The 16,522-nt window shown below is 49.2% G+C and overlaps 2 protein-coding genes across 14 annotated transcripts in view, besides 6 other annotated features; both read right to left on the bottom strand.

The window, feature by feature from the left end:
• Positions 1-4,085, bottom strand: part of NCAPH (non-SMC condensin I complex subunit H) — a 41,326-nt gene extending 37,241 nt beyond the window's left edge. For all 8 annotated transcript variants that reach the window (XM_005263908.5, NM_015341.5, XM_006712388.5 and 5 more), the window contains exon 1: positions 4,003-4,085. In XM_005263908.5, coding sequence (XP_005263965.1) covers positions 4,003-4,021 — 19 coding nt within the window. In that variant the 5' untranslated portion in view covers positions 4,022-4,085. The remainder of the gene's footprint in view (positions 1-4,002) is intronic.
• Positions 2,929-3,770: an enhancer, noted in NCBI's record as "H3K27ac hESC enhancer chr2:97001819-97002660 (GRCh37/hg19 assembly coordinates)". NCBI's record gives its function as "activates a minimal SCP1, AML or CMV promoter by ChIP-STARR-seq in naive H9 embryonic stem cells {active_cell/tissue: H9 hESC(naive)}" and the evidence as "EXISTENCE:reporter gene assay evidence [ECO:0000049][PMID:30033119]".
• Positions 3,691-4,010: a silencer, noted in NCBI's record as "silent region_11765". NCBI's record gives its function as "represses an Ori minimal core promoter by ATAC-STARR-seq in GM12878 lymphoblastoid cells {active_cell/tissue: GM12878}" and the evidence as "EXISTENCE:reporter gene assay evidence [ECO:0000049][PMID:35858748]".
• Positions 3,691-4,612: a biological region, named in NCBI's record as "H3K27ac hESC enhancer GRCh37_chr2:97000977-97001818".
• Positions 3,771-4,612: an enhancer, noted in NCBI's record as "H3K27ac hESC enhancer chr2:97000977-97001818 (GRCh37/hg19 assembly coordinates)". NCBI's record gives its function as "activates a minimal SCP1, AML or CMV promoter by ChIP-STARR-seq in naive and primed H9 embryonic stem cells {active_cell/tissue: H9 hESC(naive and primed)}" and the evidence as "EXISTENCE:reporter gene assay evidence [ECO:0000049][PMID:30033119]".
• On the bottom strand, positions 9,344-14,534 carry ITPRIPL1 (ITPRIP like 1). 6 transcript variants are annotated; one of them, NM_001008949.3, is made up of 3 exons: positions 14,286-14,534; positions 14,002-14,104; positions 11,498-13,209 (listed from the first exon to the last, which is right to left on the bottom strand). In NM_001008949.3, the coding sequence occupies exons 2-3, from the start codon at positions 14,009-14,011 to the stop codon at positions 11,552-11,554; spliced, it is 1,668 nt and encodes a 555-aa protein (NP_001008949.1). In that variant the 5' UTR covers positions 14,012-14,104; positions 14,286-14,534; the 3' UTR covers positions 11,498-11,551. The 6 variants fall into 6 exon arrangements, with proteins under 6 accessions (NP_848590.3, NP_001008949.1, XP_016858916.1 ...); XM_017003427.2 differs by having other exon boundaries at positions 14,002-14,534; NM_001163523.2 differs by lacking the exon at positions 14,002-14,104.
• Positions 13,847-14,347: an enhancer, noted in NCBI's record as "H3K4me1 hESC enhancer chr2:96991242-96991742 (GRCh37/hg19 assembly coordinates)". NCBI's record gives its function as "activates a minimal SCP1, AML or CMV promoter by ChIP-STARR-seq in naive H9 embryonic stem cells {active_cell/tissue: H9 hESC(naive)}" and the evidence as "EXISTENCE:reporter gene assay evidence [ECO:0000049][PMID:30033119]".
• Positions 14,370-14,619: a silencer, noted in NCBI's record as "silent region_11764". NCBI's record gives its function as "represses an Ori minimal core promoter by ATAC-STARR-seq in GM12878 lymphoblastoid cells {active_cell/tissue: GM12878}" and the evidence as "EXISTENCE:reporter gene assay evidence [ECO:0000049][PMID:35858748]".

Raw genomic sequence — 16,522 nt, 5'->3', positions numbered from 1 at the left:
GAATGTGGCATTCTAAAAGCCAGGTGAAGAAAGTATTTTTAGGGGAGGAGGATGTGATAAACTATGTAGATGAGGACTGAGAACTGATCATTGGATTTAGAACCTAGGGTTACTAGTGATCTTGACAAAAACAGTTTTCCTAGAGTAGTAAGGGAGAAAGCTGAACTGGAGTGGTTCAAGTGAAGATGGGAGAAGAGAAACTGGAGACAGCAAACGATGACAAGGTGTTCAAGGACTTCTCTTTTTTTTTTTTTTTTTTTGAGACAGAGTCTTGCTTTGTCCCCCAGGCTGGAGTGCAGTGACGGGATCTCAGCTCATTGCAACTCCGCCTCCCAGGTTCAAGCAATTCTCCTGCCTCAGCCTCCTGAGTAGCTGGGACTACAGGCGCCCGCCACCACGCCCAGCTACTTTTTTGTATTTTTAGTAGAGACGGGGTTTCACAGTGTTAGCCAGGCTGGTCTCGAACTCCTGACCTCGTGATCTGCCTGTCTTGGATTCCCAGAGTGCTGGAATTACAGGCGTGAGCCACCACGCCCTGCCCAAAGACTTCTACTGTAAAAGGGTGGAGAGAAATGAGAGGGTGAGAGTTGAAAGGGAAGTGAGGAATTTTTAAGACAAAAAAACAAAACAAACAAACAAAAACCTCAGCATGGTAGAAAGAATGAAGCAAAGAGACTGTATTAGTTTTCTATGGCTGCTGTCACAAATGACCACAAACCTAGCGGTTTAAACACACATGTGGCTGGGCGCGGTGGTTCACACCTGTAATCCCAGCACTTTGGGAGGCCGAGGCGAGCAGATCATGAGGTCAGGAGATCCAGACCATCCTGGCCAACACGGTGAAACCCCACCTCTACTAAAAATACAAAAAAATGAGCCGGGCGCAGTGGCGGGTGCCTGTAGTCCCAGCTACTTGGGAGGCTGAGACAGAAGAATGGCATGAACCCAAGAGGTGGAGCTTGCTGTGAGTCGAGATCGCGCCACTGCACTACAGCCTGGGTGACAAAGTGAGACTCCGTCTCAAAAAACAAAAACAAAAACAAAAAAACCCCCACACGTTTATGTGTTCTCTTGCAGCTGTGGAGGGTTACATTCATTCTGGAGGCTTTGAGAGGAGGATCTGTTCCTCGCCTTTTGCAGCTTCAGAGCTGCCTACATTCCTTGGCTCACTGTCCCCCCATCACTCTAACCTCTTGTTCTGTCATCACATCTGCTCTCACTCTACCCCGACGACCTTCCTCTTACAAGGACCACTGTGATTAAACTGGGCCCACCCAGATGATCCATGATAGTCTTCTCAACAGCCTTAACTTAATCACATGAGCAAAGTCTCTTTCACCACGTAAGATAACATATTCACAGGTTCTGGACACCTTTAGGGCAAGTGTTATTCAGCCTATCACAGTGACCATCCAAAATAAAAGGTAAAATTTGCTGAACAATGTACTCAAGCAGGCAAAGAGGTTGCCTTTGTAGAGAGCACAGAAAGCCCATCCTCAGTAACAGGAGAAAAGACAGAGGCACTGGCACAGATGCAGGCAGGGAGCAGGTGCAATGGCAGACTTGGGGATGTTCCTTTTTGTTTGCTTTTTTTTTTTTTTTTTTTTTTCAATAAAATAGGAAGTAAAAACAAGGCTGGGCTCATGCCTGTAATCCTAGCACTTTGGAGGCCAAGGTGGGAGGATCACTTGAGGTCAGGAGTTCGAGACCAGCCTGGCCAACAAGGCAAAATCCCGTCTCTACTAAAAATACAAAAATTAGCAAGGTGTAGTGGCGCATGTCTGTAATCCCAGCTACTCGGTAGGCTGAGGCAGGAGAATTGCTTGAGCCTGGGAGGCAGAGGTTGCAGTGAGCCAAGATCAAGCCACTGCACTCCAGCCTGGGGGACAGAGCAAGACTCTGTCTCAGAAAAAAAAAAAGGGTTGTTGGAGTCAGGGAACCAGAGAGTGAATTAGAAAGATATAGGTGGTATTGAGAAGTGGGGTACTTTGCCAGGCATCTGTGGTTCCAGCTACTCAGGAAGCTGAGCCTGCTTGCGCTCAGCAAGGCTGCCGTGAGCTAGGACAGCACCTGTCAATAGCCACGCACTCCAGCCTGGGCAACACAGCAAGACCCTGTCTCTAAAAAATAATAGGCCGGGCGCGGTGGCTCATGCCTGTAATCCCAGCACTTTGGGAGGCTGAGGCGGGCAGATCACAAGGTCAGGAGATCGAGACCACCCTGACTAACACGGTGAAACCCCGTTCCTACTAAAATACAAAAAATTAGCTGGGCGTGGTGGCAGGAGCCTGTAGTCCCAGCTACTCGGGAGGCTGAGGCAGGAGAATAGCGTGAACCCAGGAGGCGGAGCTTGCAGTGGGCCGAGATTGCACCACTGCACTCCAGCCTGGGCGATAGAGCGAGACTCCGTCTCAAAAAAAACAAAAAACAAAAAACAACAAAGTAAAAATAGGAAGGGAGGAGGCAAGAGACATTTTTAGAAACTGAATCAAGAGGACTTATGAGGACAGTATTTGGATGTGAGCACAGTAGGCTACAGGCTAAGGAAGGAACCTGGACCTTTGGAGAGGATACCTTAACAGAAATAGGAAGCACTTAAGGAGAACCTTGTCTAAGAGAGAAACTAAACTTGGAATTAGAGGCATGCTTTAATTCTCCAAATCTTCTTTCCGTGGTTTCTCTCCTTGCCTTTGATATTATGCATCCATTCATTCAACCGATGGTTACTGAGCTCAAAGACACTTCCTATGTCTACTTCCTCATTTCCCACTCATTTTTCAACCCACTCTGGTCTGGTTCCTATTCCAACTTCATGAGAACTATCTTTTCGTGATCATCTATAACTTCCATGTTGCCTAAACCCTATGGTCATTTTCTGGCCTTTCTCTTGGAATCCAGCAGCATTTGAAACAGCTGACAGTCCCTTCCTTGTTGAAACACTCTTGGCTTCTTCCTATACCACTGTCTTTTGAGTTTTTCCAGCTCATCCTTCTCTATCCAGCTTCTAAACGTTGGTCCTAGATGTGCAGGGCCTTCCTAGTGTTCTCACCTGTTCCCATGGTTTTATGGTCTAATGGTCTATATGATAATGGTATCCAAATTTATTTCTCAATCCATGGGTCACTTCCCTGAGTGGTCCATATAACTCCCCTGAGAGCCAAATTCTCACCTAAGTGATTATAGATCCCTTCACCTGAGTCTCTCCCGTAAGTCACACATACCATGTCCAAAATGTAACTCAATTTCCAAATCTCTTACCCAAGGCCTCCAGACCCTGCCTACGTGTCAGGCCTCACTAAGCTTGGTCACAATGTTCTGGTCAGGTCCTAGGCCAGGCCAGGCTCTTCCCTGCCTCATTTTTGTACTTGCTCCTTCTGCCTGAAACACGTTCCCTAGTATCTGCCTAAAGATCTTCCCTGAACCCCTGGCGGAGCCACCCCTACTCTGCTATACTCAATCACAGCACTCAGCCTCATGTGTAATTATTTCTTTTGTTTACTGTCTGTCTCCCCAACTCCAACAGTATAGAGATATTATCAATTTTGTTCGCCCAACGGGAGAGCTCAGTACTTTTGAATAGATGCAAAAATAAATGCATGCATGCTAAGCATACAACGGTAACCACATCGCTTCCAAAGCCCTGAAAATAACGTCTATTCCAGGAAAACCACCATTTTAATGGAGAGACACCGAGCACGCTTTAGGAGCCCAAGGAGGAGGCCGCCCCACCGCCCGCCCGGGAACTGAGGAGTGTGAGGCAGGGCCCGCGCGCTCTCCGACTCCGGCCGAAGCCGCTTTCTGATTGGCTGAGCGCACAAGGTCCGCCCGCCCCGCGCCGGCCCTCCCCTCCCCCCGCACCGGCCTCTGCTGTCAGCCGCAGGGCCAAGACCCGAGCTGAGCATATCCTCTCTCCCCGCCCAGGCCAGCCCGCCAGCCCTGCCCGCCCGAAGTACTGCTTCGCTAGGGGCCCTTCCCGCCGCGCCTCCCGACCGCCCGGCTCACCTGGGCCGGGAGGTCCCATCTTTCCTTGGCGTCTCCTGAGCTGGTTTTAAATCGCGCGCGTCGAGACGCCTGAGCGCCGTAACGGCCGCGTGACGTCGCCGGCGGGCCGGGCCAGCAGCGCGCCTGCGCAGACCACCTCGGGCCTCCGCGGGCGGCGTCAGAGTGAGTTTTGGGTTGAGGACCCCGTCTGATTGGGCTTCTTGGGGTCGGTGGACCCCCTGAAATAGTATGAAAACCCCCTCCTTCGAGGACTAGGTGCAGGACTGGGCTTGGGAACCCAGCGTCGAGCAGGGTGAGCAAGGCCCGTCTTTCGTGGAATTTACTTTCTTTTTTTTTTTTTTTTGGGACGAAGTCTAGCTCTTGTCCCCCAGACTGGAGTGCAGTGGCGCGATCTTGGCTCACTGCAACCTCCGCCTCCTGGGTTAAAGCGATTCTCCTGCCTCAGCCTCCCGAGTAGCTGGGATTACAGGCGCCTGCCACCACGCCTGGCCAATTTTTGTGTTTTTAGTAGAGACGGGGTTTCACCATGTTGGCCAGGCTGGTCTCGAACTCCTGACCTCAGGTGATCCGCCCACCTCGGCCTCCCGAAGTGCTGGGATTACAGGCGTGAGCCACCGCGCTCAGCCCGTGGAATTTACTTTATAATGGGGAGGCAGATGATCGAGAAAACGAGGTTTATTTCCCTTAGAGATCTGTGCTGTGTGGGCAGCAAAACGCTGAAAACCTCCGGGAAGAGGGACGGAGGGGAGCGGGAGCCTACGTGGGAATGAGGAGCGGTCCAGGTGGGGAAGAACTGATGCAGAAATGCTATGTATACATTAAATATAGTACAAAATGTACATTTAATATAGTGTAAGATGAAGGCCATCGTTTTATTCAGATTCTTGTGAATAGCTTCCTGTGAACACCCCCCACCCTTCAAAAAATAAATAAAGGTCGAAAAAGCGAAATAAGCATAAAATGCCATCTGTCCCCTCAGTTTCATCTAACCCTAAGGATTGAATTATGGGAGTAAAGGCCAGGGTGATTCCCTGGAATATCCCCAGCACATCCTAGAATTTCTTGTAACTCTCATATCTGGCATCTTTTACAGTGTTTCTCTTCAAGGGCACTGTTGGCATTCAGGGTGAAACAATCCTTGGCATGATAGGATGTTTGCCCTCTTTGTGGGCTCTTAAGCCCCCGTAACATCATTTGCCCACTAAATGCCATCAGTGCTGTCGCTCATTTTGGCAATCAAAAAGTGCCACCCTTTGTTGAAAACCACTTTTTTTTTTTTTTTTTTTGAGACAGAGTCTTGCTTTGTTGCCCAGGCTGGAGTGCAATGGCACGATCTCAGCTCACTGCAACCTCCACCTCCCAAGTTCAAGCGATTCTCCTGCCTCAGCCTCCTGAATAGCTGGGATTACAGGCGCCCACCACCACACCCAGCTAATTTTTGTATTTTTAGTAGAGATGGGGTTTCACCATGTTGGTCAGGCTGGTCTCGAACTCCTGACCTCAGGTGATCCACCCGCCTTGGCCTCTCAAAGTGTTAGGATTATAGGCATGAGCCACTGCGCCTGGCTGAAAACCACTTTTTAAGCCTATCTGTTGTTCGTATAAACTTGTTCTTCTAGTGACCACCTTCAAATCTTCAGCGTAAGGCTGTGTGGGTTAGAGAAAACAGGTTGACACTGTTTATCTCAGCAAATGATACCATCAGCCACCCAAGAACCCAAATCAGCACCCAGGAGTCATCCTGGGGGATTCCCTCCCTTTCTCTCCCCACACAATCCATCATCAAGCAAGCTATTTTCACCTCCTAAAAATTGCCAATCCTGCCTTTCTCCTTCCATCCACATTACCTTCTCACTGGCCTGCTCTGGCCCCCCCTCAGGCCCTGAGTAGTGTATGCGGAGTCCAAATCTGAGCTGTCACTCCCACTTGTCCCCCACCACTTCCTCCCGGAAGTATAACACTTCAGGGGTTCCACCACCCTGGGAACCTCTAAGCGTCCTACAAGGTCCTGGAAGGGTCTTCCTGCCAGCCTCCCCACCCCTGCAGCCTCTCCAGCCTCCTCAGGGACCTTGCTCCCCTTGCTCCCTGCCCTCCAGCTGCCCTGGCCTTTTTTCAGATTCCTCTCATCACACCTGCTCCTACCCCCAGGCCTCTGCACACACACACTCCTCTAGCTAGGATCCTCTTCATCCCCATCTTCACCCCCGTAGCTCCAGTTAGGTTTCTACTCCCCTCAGGTTCCTCAAGGAGACCTTCCCTGATACACACAACTCTCCATACTGGAGGCTTCAGGAGAACTTGTCACAGCTGCAATTTTCCATGCACTAGGGTGACTATTTCATGTCTGTCTCCTACATAGACCGTCAGCTCCATGAGGATGAAGCCATATCTGTTCACTATGGTTTTCCCATGGCCTGGTGCTGGCCCTGGACATAGCAAGTACTTAAATATGTATTCAATGAGTACATCTGGAAGACAATTTTAAATCCTGGGTTGGGCATGTTAACCTCTCTGGGCCCCATTTTCTTCCCCGTCTATAAAATGGGGAAGGCACTATCCCCGCACTGGACTTGGTCAGTATATGCTGGGGTCCCTGTCATCTCCCTCACTTGTTCTCTCTGCTGAATGCATCTGAGGGAGGACACTGGGACAAGTGTGATCCTCTGGATTCCATGTGTACATAAGAGTAGCAAGGGTTAGGTGATACACTGAATCAGGAGCCTCTGAAGAACAGCTTGGAAGCCCTGGGGGAGGAAAGCTACTAAGTGACCCACTAGGTGAGCCTTGAGGCTGTTCTGTGGGAATAATGGAGCCACCTGAGCTGCTTCCAGCTTCACGTGCAGGAAGGCAAAGCCAGCTCCATGCCCAGTGTCTCTCTGGGCCAGGGCTGCCTTATGCGGGCAGGTCTTTCACCTCCTGCTCTGAATGCCATCTTTGTTTTGTTTTTAGGACTATGAAGGGTGCCAAAAGAGTGAATGATTTGGCCGGGCGCGGTGGCTCAAGCCTGTAATCCCAGCACTTCGGGAGGCCGAGGTGGGCAGATCACAAGGTCAGGAGATCGAGACCATCCTGGCTAACACAGTGAAACCCTGTCTCTACTAAAAATACAAAAAAAAAAAAAAAATTTGCCTGGCATGGTGGCGGGTGCTTGTAGTCCCAGCTACTCGGGAGGCTGAGGCAGGAGAATGGCATGAACCTGGGAGGCGGAGCTTGCAGTGAGCCGAGATTGTGCTACTGCACTCCAGCCTGGGCAACAGAGCAAGACTCCATCTCAAAAAAATAATAATAATAAATAAATAAAGAAGAGTGAATGATTTATCACTGATCTCAGTGGTGTACAAAGCTCAATACCTCTGTTTGTGCAAAAGTAAAGTAGTTAAGGTTCCTCCACTAATCCTAGGCTGCCAGAAAAGCAGAGCTGGTGTCGTCTTCCTTCCCCACCCCATTTTACTCTTCATGGAGATTCTACTTCCCCCAAATAAATGGGAAACTGCCTTAGTTTAGGTGAGAAACAATAGTGTTATCCATTGGCTACCTGAACAAGCAATCTTTTGGCTTCAAATTTGCCCTGACTTTCCAGCCTGCAGCTGGCTTATATAATGATGTAGTCTGTGATAGAAACCATCAAGTCACTGGGACTTAGTAGGCATATAGTTGAAATGGCTTTGCGTTCGTTTTGGCCTCCAAGCAAATGCCTTTTTTTTCTTTTTTTTTTTTTTTTTGAGACGGAATTTTACTCTTGTTGCCCAGGTTGGAGTGTAATGGCGCCATCTCGGCTCACCACAGCCTCTGCCTCCTGGGTTCAAGTGATTCTCCTGCCTCAGCCCCCCCAAGTAGCTGGGATTACAGGCATGCACCATCATGCCCAGCTAATTTTGTATTTTTAGTAGAGACAAGGCTTCTCCATGTTGGTCAGGCTAGTCTCGAACTTCCAACCTCAGGTGATCTGCCCACCTCAGCCTCCCAAAGCGTTGAGATTACAGGCGTGAGCCACTGCACCTGGCGCAAATGCCTTTAATGTTTGCATGTGATATGAAATTCCTGACCTCCTTAAGACTGGGCTAAGAACCAACAATTTCTGTCTTCTAGAATTTCTAAACAGTAACATACCATCTTTTAAAATATAGTGCTTTTTGCTTCTCAAAGCCCTTTAACCCTTACATCTTGTTTTATTTCCAAGACCAAGCTGAAAGTTTGCAATGGCAGATAGTTTCTTCCAGGCTCTGCCACTAGCTACATGACCTTGGGGAAGTTGCATACCCTTTCTGCGCCTCAGTTTCCTCACATGTAAAATGGAGGGGATGAAGGGCTCACTTCATGGGGTTATAGTATGAAGATTAAATGAGTTACCAGATGTAAAGCCATCAGAACAGTGTCCTGAACACTGGCAAACTCAGTGAACATTAAGCATTCCCATTACTATAACTGCTGTTGTATCCTGGGGGCTAGCCAGGTTTTGTTTTAGAATAAAGCTTAGTTTCCTATCTGGAGAGGTTTCCTCTTTAATTGTAAAAGTATTCCCAGAGCACTACAGGTCTGTTCTTTCCATTACTACTTGTTTGTGTGTTTTTTCTTTTTTTTAATACTCTTTCTTGCACCCTCTGCTCCACCCAAGTTTTGCTGACTGCTCCCTTTGTAATCATCTGCCCACTCTCATAACTTTCTGTTTTCTTTTTCTTTCTTTTTCTTTTTTTTTTTTTGCGACAGAGTCTCGCTCTGTCACCCAGGCTGGAGTGCAGTGGCGCGATCTCAGCTCACTGCAACCTCTGCCTCCCGGGTTCAAGTGATTCTCCTGCCTCAGCCTCCTGAGTAGCTGGGATGACAGGCGTGTGCCACCACACCCGGCAAATTTCTTTAAATTTTTAGTAGAGACGCAGTTCCGCCATGTTGGCCAGGTGATTTCAAACTCTTGACCTCAAGTGATCCGCCCACCTCGGCCTCCCAAAGTGCTGGGATTACAGGCATGAGCCAACACGCCTGGCCTTTATTTTCTTTTTTATCTATTAGACTAGAAACAACCATGCACTCCTAGAAATCATACCACCTTCTTTCTACCTGAGAAGACTTTTAGAGTTTATGCACATTGTTTGCAACCACTAAGATCTTCTAATTTGGCTGATATTTTGGTTTGGGCACCATGAAAATTAATCACCTAGATGTTGCTTATTCTTTTCTGGCTACTGGCCATGCCACTTGGAAACCACAAGGCAGACTAGTTCCAAGTACATTGAGAAATACCAGGATATACCGAATGGAGCTATCAGGGTAACATGAACTTCTTGGGAACAGGCATGTGAGAATGCTGATCTGCTGAGTGTGTTACTGCATAGATTCCAATGTATACAGAAAATAGCCTCCTTTATTGACTTTAACTTAAAACATCAGCAAATAATTTTCTAAACAAAAAGTATGTGAATGTTGCTAAAACACCAAAATCCCATCAGCAGGGAAGCAACCATGATTGCATCTTGCATTGAAAGCGGTACCTGACAGATGCAGGCAACACAGGAACACAGTAGCTATTGTGCACTGGGAGCCCCAATGATTGACTGGCATCAGCTTCTGGGAACCTTTTTTTTTTTTTTTTTTTTTTTTTTTTTTGAGACGCGGTCTCACTTTTTTGCCCAGGGTCGCTGGAGCACAGTGACACTATCATAGCTCACTACAGCCCTGACCTCCTGGGCTCAAGCAGTCTTTCCGCCTCAACCTCCAGAGTAGCAGGGATCACAGGTATATGCCACCATGCCCAGCTAATTTTTTGTAGAGACGGGATTGCGACATGTTGCCCAGGCTGGTCTTGAACTCCTGGGCTCAAGTGATCTTCCCACCTCAGCCTCCCAGAGTGCTGGGATTACAGGTGTGAGCCACTGCACCTGGCTTTGGGACATTTTTAATTTATTTTTGCTGGAGGAGAGGGTGTGTATTCTATGACTGAAGCCTATAAGGGCCAGCATCTGATCCCTGCTGAGGTCAAGTTCAGTGGGGACAGGTTACCCTCCCCAGCAGATCTTCTTGGCAGTGCAGATAGAACAGCATTGGCGTTTCCAAAACAATCACACCCATAACTATAGTTGCATTTCTTAACACTCCTCCTCAGCATCCCATGGTTTTGAAAAAAGGGAAAAATACACCAATTATATCTCTAGAATCACAATTTTAGAGTTGGACTGTTTCCCAATCCTTTCCTATACAAACCTGGCAGTGAGCCTGGATTGTGATGACCTCTCTTTCAAAACCACAAACACAGTTCAAGTAATCCCTTTGTCATTTTTGAAAAAAAAAAAAAAAAATACAAAGGAGGCATGGCCAGACAGAAAAAGCACAGCTAAACATGGCAGCTAAACCTTCTTTACACTCAACAAGTGGCTCCCCACAAGCAACAAAGTAATTATTCATCTCAGAGCCCCCAAAAAGATTGTCCTTGTGAAGGCCTTTATAATGTTGCCTCCAGGCACCTTAAAAAGGTCATCAGATGTTAACCATTTCATTATTATGGTAAATACATTATCTCAATTATGAGACAGGTTACTATTGACTTAATATTTGTGAATCAATGCGAATAAATTAGGTAGTTTTTTCAGATGCATAAAAACAACTCTATTGTCATATGAAAATAGGGCTAAGTTAAGAAAATGGAATGTAAACATCTTGGAGATATATATATATATATATATATATATATATATATATATATATATAATTTTTTTTTTTTTGAGACAGATTCTCACTCTGTAGTCCAAGCTGAAGTGTAGTGGTGCGATCTCGGCTCACTGCAACCTCCACCACTGGGGCTTAAGTGATTCTCGTGCCTCAGCCTCCCAAGTAGCTGGGACTACAGGTGCGCGCCACCATGCCCGGCTAATTTTGTGTATTTTAGCAGAGATGGGGTTTCACCATGTTGCCCGGGGTGGTCTTGAACTCCTGAACTCAGGCGATACACCCACCTCGGCCCCCCAAAGTGCTGGGATTAACAGGCGTGAGCCACCGCAACCGGCCTTGGTTATATTTTCAAAATAGTGAAGGTTTGAAAAATTAGATCGTAAATTATGAGAAGTTGCCCATCACAGTATTTGGGATAAAATGGAGTGCCACCAGCTCGGATGAGAATTAAGCTAACAGTTCAACAAGGAAACCAATTCACAAGGAACATACTGGAAGTCAATCACAAAAAGGAATAAGCTGGAATGAAGGTATTCTCTGGTTCTCTCACTTCGAGTGTTGATACAAAAACACAACTTCACAGTGACCCTCTGGATCTCACCTCCTTAGCAGCAAGATCCTCCCATAACATCCGTTTCCCTGGACCTTCTTTGGGTCATGATGAAAGTTAGCAGAAGAAAACCTCAGATGACCCATCCTTGACTAGGCCCTGCAGGGTCATTATGCCCATCCTCATGACCACCTCACACGCTCCTTAAGGTGTCTCATCATAGCCCCCACTGGCAAGGTGAAGGTCACATATACCACTGATATATCTGAAAAGTAAACACTTTTGTAGCCCAAGGAATTAGAAATACCTTCCTCTGTTTTTTTTTTAATGGTCTTTACATCAAGGTGCTGCAGCCAGTGGGGCATGAGGCAGAGTTTTCACCTGGGTCAGAAGGTTTTGGAACTCTTCCACTGCCTGTGAATGTGCCTTGGGGTTGAGCACCAGGTGTTGGAAGAGATTGACCGGCTCAGCATTCCTAAATGTCTTAGGGATTGGGATGGTCAGGGGCAGAAAATTGTTACCAATGAGGAAATGATGGAGGGACCTTTGCTGGAGGCCACGGCCCAAGAACCAGAGAATGTCCTGGAGCCGCTGAGAGAGCATGTTGTGGGCCCAGTCCGTGAGGGGCAGCCGTAGCAAGAGGTGCATGAGAGCTGTTTTAAAATGGTAAGAAGTGAGGATGGGGCGGGATGCTCCATGGGGTAAGCTCTGATGCTGCCGGAGACTTAAAATGATCTGGAGGCACTTGAGGTGACAGGTGTTCTCGGGGGCAAAGCGCCCCACCAGCTTCAGGAACAGGTGCTCACAGGCCACAAAGGACTCAGGCCAGTCCACACTGGTGAGCTGCTCCTGGTCAGGAGCCTGACTCACCAGGTAGACCAAGGTGTCTTCTCGTTGCACCCCCAGGACCAAGTGGATTGAGAGAAAGCGGCCTGAGCGATAGTCCAGCCGGAGCTTGCAGGAGGTGGTAGACGGTGGGAGACTGAGTTTAAAGTCATACTTGTGGGCCACAAGGGCCCAGGCATTGCCCATCATGTTCCGGAACCACTGCACAGTCTTGCACACGTCTAGGTGGAAGCCGGTGCAGAGAGCTGCCTTGATGGAGCTACTACACTTCCCCAAGACTGCCGAGGGGTCCCTGTGGTGGTGCACCAGGCACAGCACGTCCCCTAGGAGTTTCTCACGCTTGCACACACATTCTGACTCCACCAGCACACAGCCACAGCGGCGGCCCAGGGCTGGGTCCCTCATCTCCAGGACAAACATGGTGCCCTGTGGGGGGACAATGGGCACCAGGATATCAAATTTCTGGGTCTCATGGAGGGTTCCCCATTTCTCAAAGGCAGCCCCGATGCCCAGGCAGTCTTCCAATTGTGGGTGAGCCTCTTGGCGGCTGAGCACCCGACAGGCCTCAATGAGATCATCCACAAAACTCTCCACAAACTCACAGGTGCAGGGCAGGTCACGGATGGCATTTTGGACATAGTGTTTGTAAAAGGAGTCCAGGGCCTCCTGGGAGGGGAAGTCAGTAAGCCAGTTGTAAGAGGTGACAGGGACAACACGGACTTCCTCCTCCTCCTCCTCACTGCTGGAATCAAAGGCCGGTTCATGCTGCATGTTCTGTCGCAGGAGCTCAAAGACGAGAAAAAGGCAAAAGAGGCCAGTGTTCCACAGGTTTCCCAGCATCCAGCCCAGAGGCCCTTCCTGGCCATCGGCCTGGAACGGCCACCCCATGTCTTTCTTCCCCAGCACTAACTGGTCACTGGATGTGTCTCCTGTCCAGAAGTTCTCTGCCTTCTGCCTCTGCTCAGCGGCTCGCTTTCTCTCTTCAAACTCCATCTCTAGCAGGCGCATCTCCTCACTCATTCGCTTCTCCAGCTGCCGACTCCTGGCTAATGTGTCCAGGTCCATCCGATCACTGACCATCAGAGGGTGGTGAACAACATACATCACTGCCAAGAACAGCAGGCTTATCACAGCCATGGAGGCCTCTGCATCTGGAGAAGTAGGAGAGTAGGAGTCAGTGGTCATCTTCCAGACTTATCTGCTCTCTAGCTCACATTCCCCAGAGCCCTGGTACCCCAAATTCTGAAAATCAGCTACTCAGGAGGAACAGAAAGCCCACAGAGCTTGGCTTGGACACAGCAAGGGTGGTCGGCCTGGGAGGAGGTTCGAGAGAAAAGAGGGCGAAAGGATGTGCCACTCAGTCTCTCTCCTGCTTTCCTTCCACATGGTGTGGGTGGTATTTAGGCTTCCAGAAAGTGTACATGGGACTGTTTTCATTCCTGTGTAGGATGGGGAGGGGGACCCTTGTGGTAGGGTGGCCTCACCCGACTCCTCAGTCAACCATGGGCACCAGATATGACCTGCTGATCCCAGAGGCTCCCTTTTATAGCCAGAAAGCCCTGAACCTGCCTGGGTGACACCTTTCCTCTGCCCCGGCAGCCAGTTGTAGCATTCCACTTCCTCTGTGACTTCACAGTCTTCATTCTGCTCACCCAGTATGAAGTGAGCCTCATCACTCAGCCTCTCCCTCTCTGCCCAGGGAGCGCAAGAGAGGCACAGTGCCGCCAGCTGCTTGCTACGGTGCCCTCTCTGCTCCTAAGGGGCTAGTGGATACCCCGTGTGTGGGCAGGCTAGCTTCACTTCTTAGTTCAGAAAACTGTCTGCAGAACCAGGTGCCCAAGGCCTACCTGACAGCCGGCAGTGGTCAGTTCCACTGCCTCCCCACCCACCCGTGAAGCCCGAGCTTCTGCCACTCACCCTAATTCACAAGCTACCGCGCTTACCAACATTCATGAAGGACTATGCCGTGTGGACGCTGAAGCCAGCTGGGCCTATCCTCCCTTTGGAACTTGGCCTTGCTTCGTCTCCCCGCCCTCTCTAGGAGCCCTGTTAAAATGTACAAGGTACCTGGGGGCTTTGGCTCAAATCGGAACCCGACCCTCCCCCCATTCATAACTTCCCCAAATTCCACGCCCAGAGATTTGTACTCTCACCCGCCTATCCGTAGGAGGCCAAGGGCCCATCCTACCTCGGGATGTCTCCCGGGACCCAGGGCCAGGTTACTCACCGTCAGTGTTAGTAGGAACACGATCTTAAAGAGACAGCGCGGCCTGACCGCCACTGCTTTTTTCCCGGCAGGGTGGGGGCGTCCGGTTCATCGCTGGGGCCGCCCGCGGGAGTGGCCCTGCTCCCCTTTCCTGGGTTATAGACCATGCTTGTCCGAGCGTCTGAACGTCTGGCTGAGCGCGGTGGGCCCCTACGACCCCCAGCACGCGGCTCCGAGGGCGCCCGCGCGCCGCAGCCGCTCCCGCCGTCCGGGCTCCTCCCCGCCCACCCAGTACAAGCTCCTCCCCGCCCAAACCCCCGTGGCCCAGCGTGCAGGGGCAGCGGCCTCCCCACACCGGGTCTCTGTCCGCACCGAGGCCCCCGTGGGTTTGCTGGGAGAGTGGAGGGGCCGTGGCCACACACTCTCCGCTGCTCGGCCTCCCTGGGGTGGCAAATGGGGCACCGCCGTGCCTGCTGTCAGCTGCACTCAGCTCAGTTCAGTGGAGAACAGACTTACTAGGATTCGGGTGTAAGGATGATGGTGGCAAAACTAGGAATTGACCGAGAAAAGCCATTCTCACTTCGGGCTGGCCCTGAGCAAAATGGCACACGAAATAAGATGTGGTTTCAGCACCCTAAATGTGCTTCCCTCCCAGCCCACGCCCAGACTCAGGCATCTTTCCCCAACCCCTTTCTCATATCAAAGTGACTCTCATGAAAGAACAGACAGCACCCAAAGACCTTACTTGGGGCCTTGCTTGCTACTCACTGGCCACGTGGGAGTAAGAATCCTACCTACAGGGCAGCTCTGCTGATACATGGGTGTATAAAGGAGAACTTTATACGGTGTGGAGGCTGGACAAGCTTTATCACACCTTAAGAAACACAACAGAATGGGTTTCCTGAAAGGGATCTTCAGATATCAGAAAGAGCCCTTAGTCTTCCTGTCTTGTGTCAGCTATCCAAGAAGAAAAGGAAGTGATGACCCCTTGATACTAACTCACTAAAATCCCTCTGCTGAAAGACAAGTTTCAGGGTTTTTATTTGTTTGTTTGTTTTTGAGAAAGAGTTTCGCTCTGTCACCCAGGCTGGAGTGTAGTGGCACCATCTTGGCTCACTGCAGCCTACCCGCCCCAGGTTCCAGTGATTCTCCTGCCTCAGCCTACTGAGTAGCTGGGACCACAGGTGTATGCCACCATGTCCAGCTAATTTTTGTATTTTTAGTAAAGACGGGGTTTCACCATGTTGGCCATGCTGGTCTCGAACTCCTGACCTCAGGTGATCTGCCCGCCTCGGCCTCCCAAAATGCTGGGATTATATGTGTAAGCCATCACACATGGCTGGGTTTCAGGTCTTCTTATCCAGTGGCAATGTGTAGGGAGCTCCCAAACAACTTGTACAATACTTCCAAGAATACTGACTTATTTAATTGTGGAGCAGGAAAAACTGTCTGCTAGCTGACAATGACTGAAGTTCCAAAGTTACTTTTTATAAATGTGAATTATGAAAAATAGATCACAGGTTATTGAGCATTCATGCATTTGGAGCAGTAATAATGAAAGTCTCTTATCTTTTCACTTATGACATGATGTCAGGATGCAAAATATATGCTTCAGAGTGTGCAAAAACGATAATGTTTAAGACCATGTGTTTTAAAGTTGTATTATTTTAATTAACAAATAATAATTGTACATATTCATAGGGTGCACAGTCATGTTTCATACATACAATGTATAATTTCAGATTAGGGTAATTAGCATATCCATCATCTCAAACATTTATCATTTCTTTGTGTTGGGAAGGTTCAATCCTCCCTCTAGCTATTTGAAACTATATATTATTACTATTATTATTTTGTGTGTGTGTGTGACGGAGTCTTGCTCTGTCACCCAGGCTGGAGTGCAGTGGCACCATCTCAGCTCACTGCAACCTCCACCTCCTGGGTCAAGCAGTTTTCCTGCCTCAGCCTCCCAAATAGCTGGGATTACAGGCACACACCACCAAGCCCGGCAATTTTTTTGTATTTTAGTAGAGTGGGGGTTTCACCATGTTCTCGAGCTCCTGAGCTCAAGCAATCTGCCCACCTTGGCCTCCCAAAGTGCTGGGATTACAGGCATGAGCCACCATGCCTGGTCTATTATTGTTAACTGTAGTCAACCTACAGTGGTGTGAAACCCTAGTACTTAGTCCTCCCATCTGGCTATAATCTTGAATCCTTTAACAAATCCCTCCCTATCACCACCTTCCCCTCCCCTTCCC

Source organism: Homo sapiens, chromosome 2 (genome assembly GCF_000001405.40).
Source record: "Homo sapiens chromosome 2, GRCh38.p14 Primary Assembly".
Lineage (NCBI taxonomy): Eukaryota > Metazoa > Chordata > Mammalia > Primates > Hominidae > Homo > Homo sapiens.
This window is presented reverse-complemented; position numbering and strand designations above follow the sequence as displayed.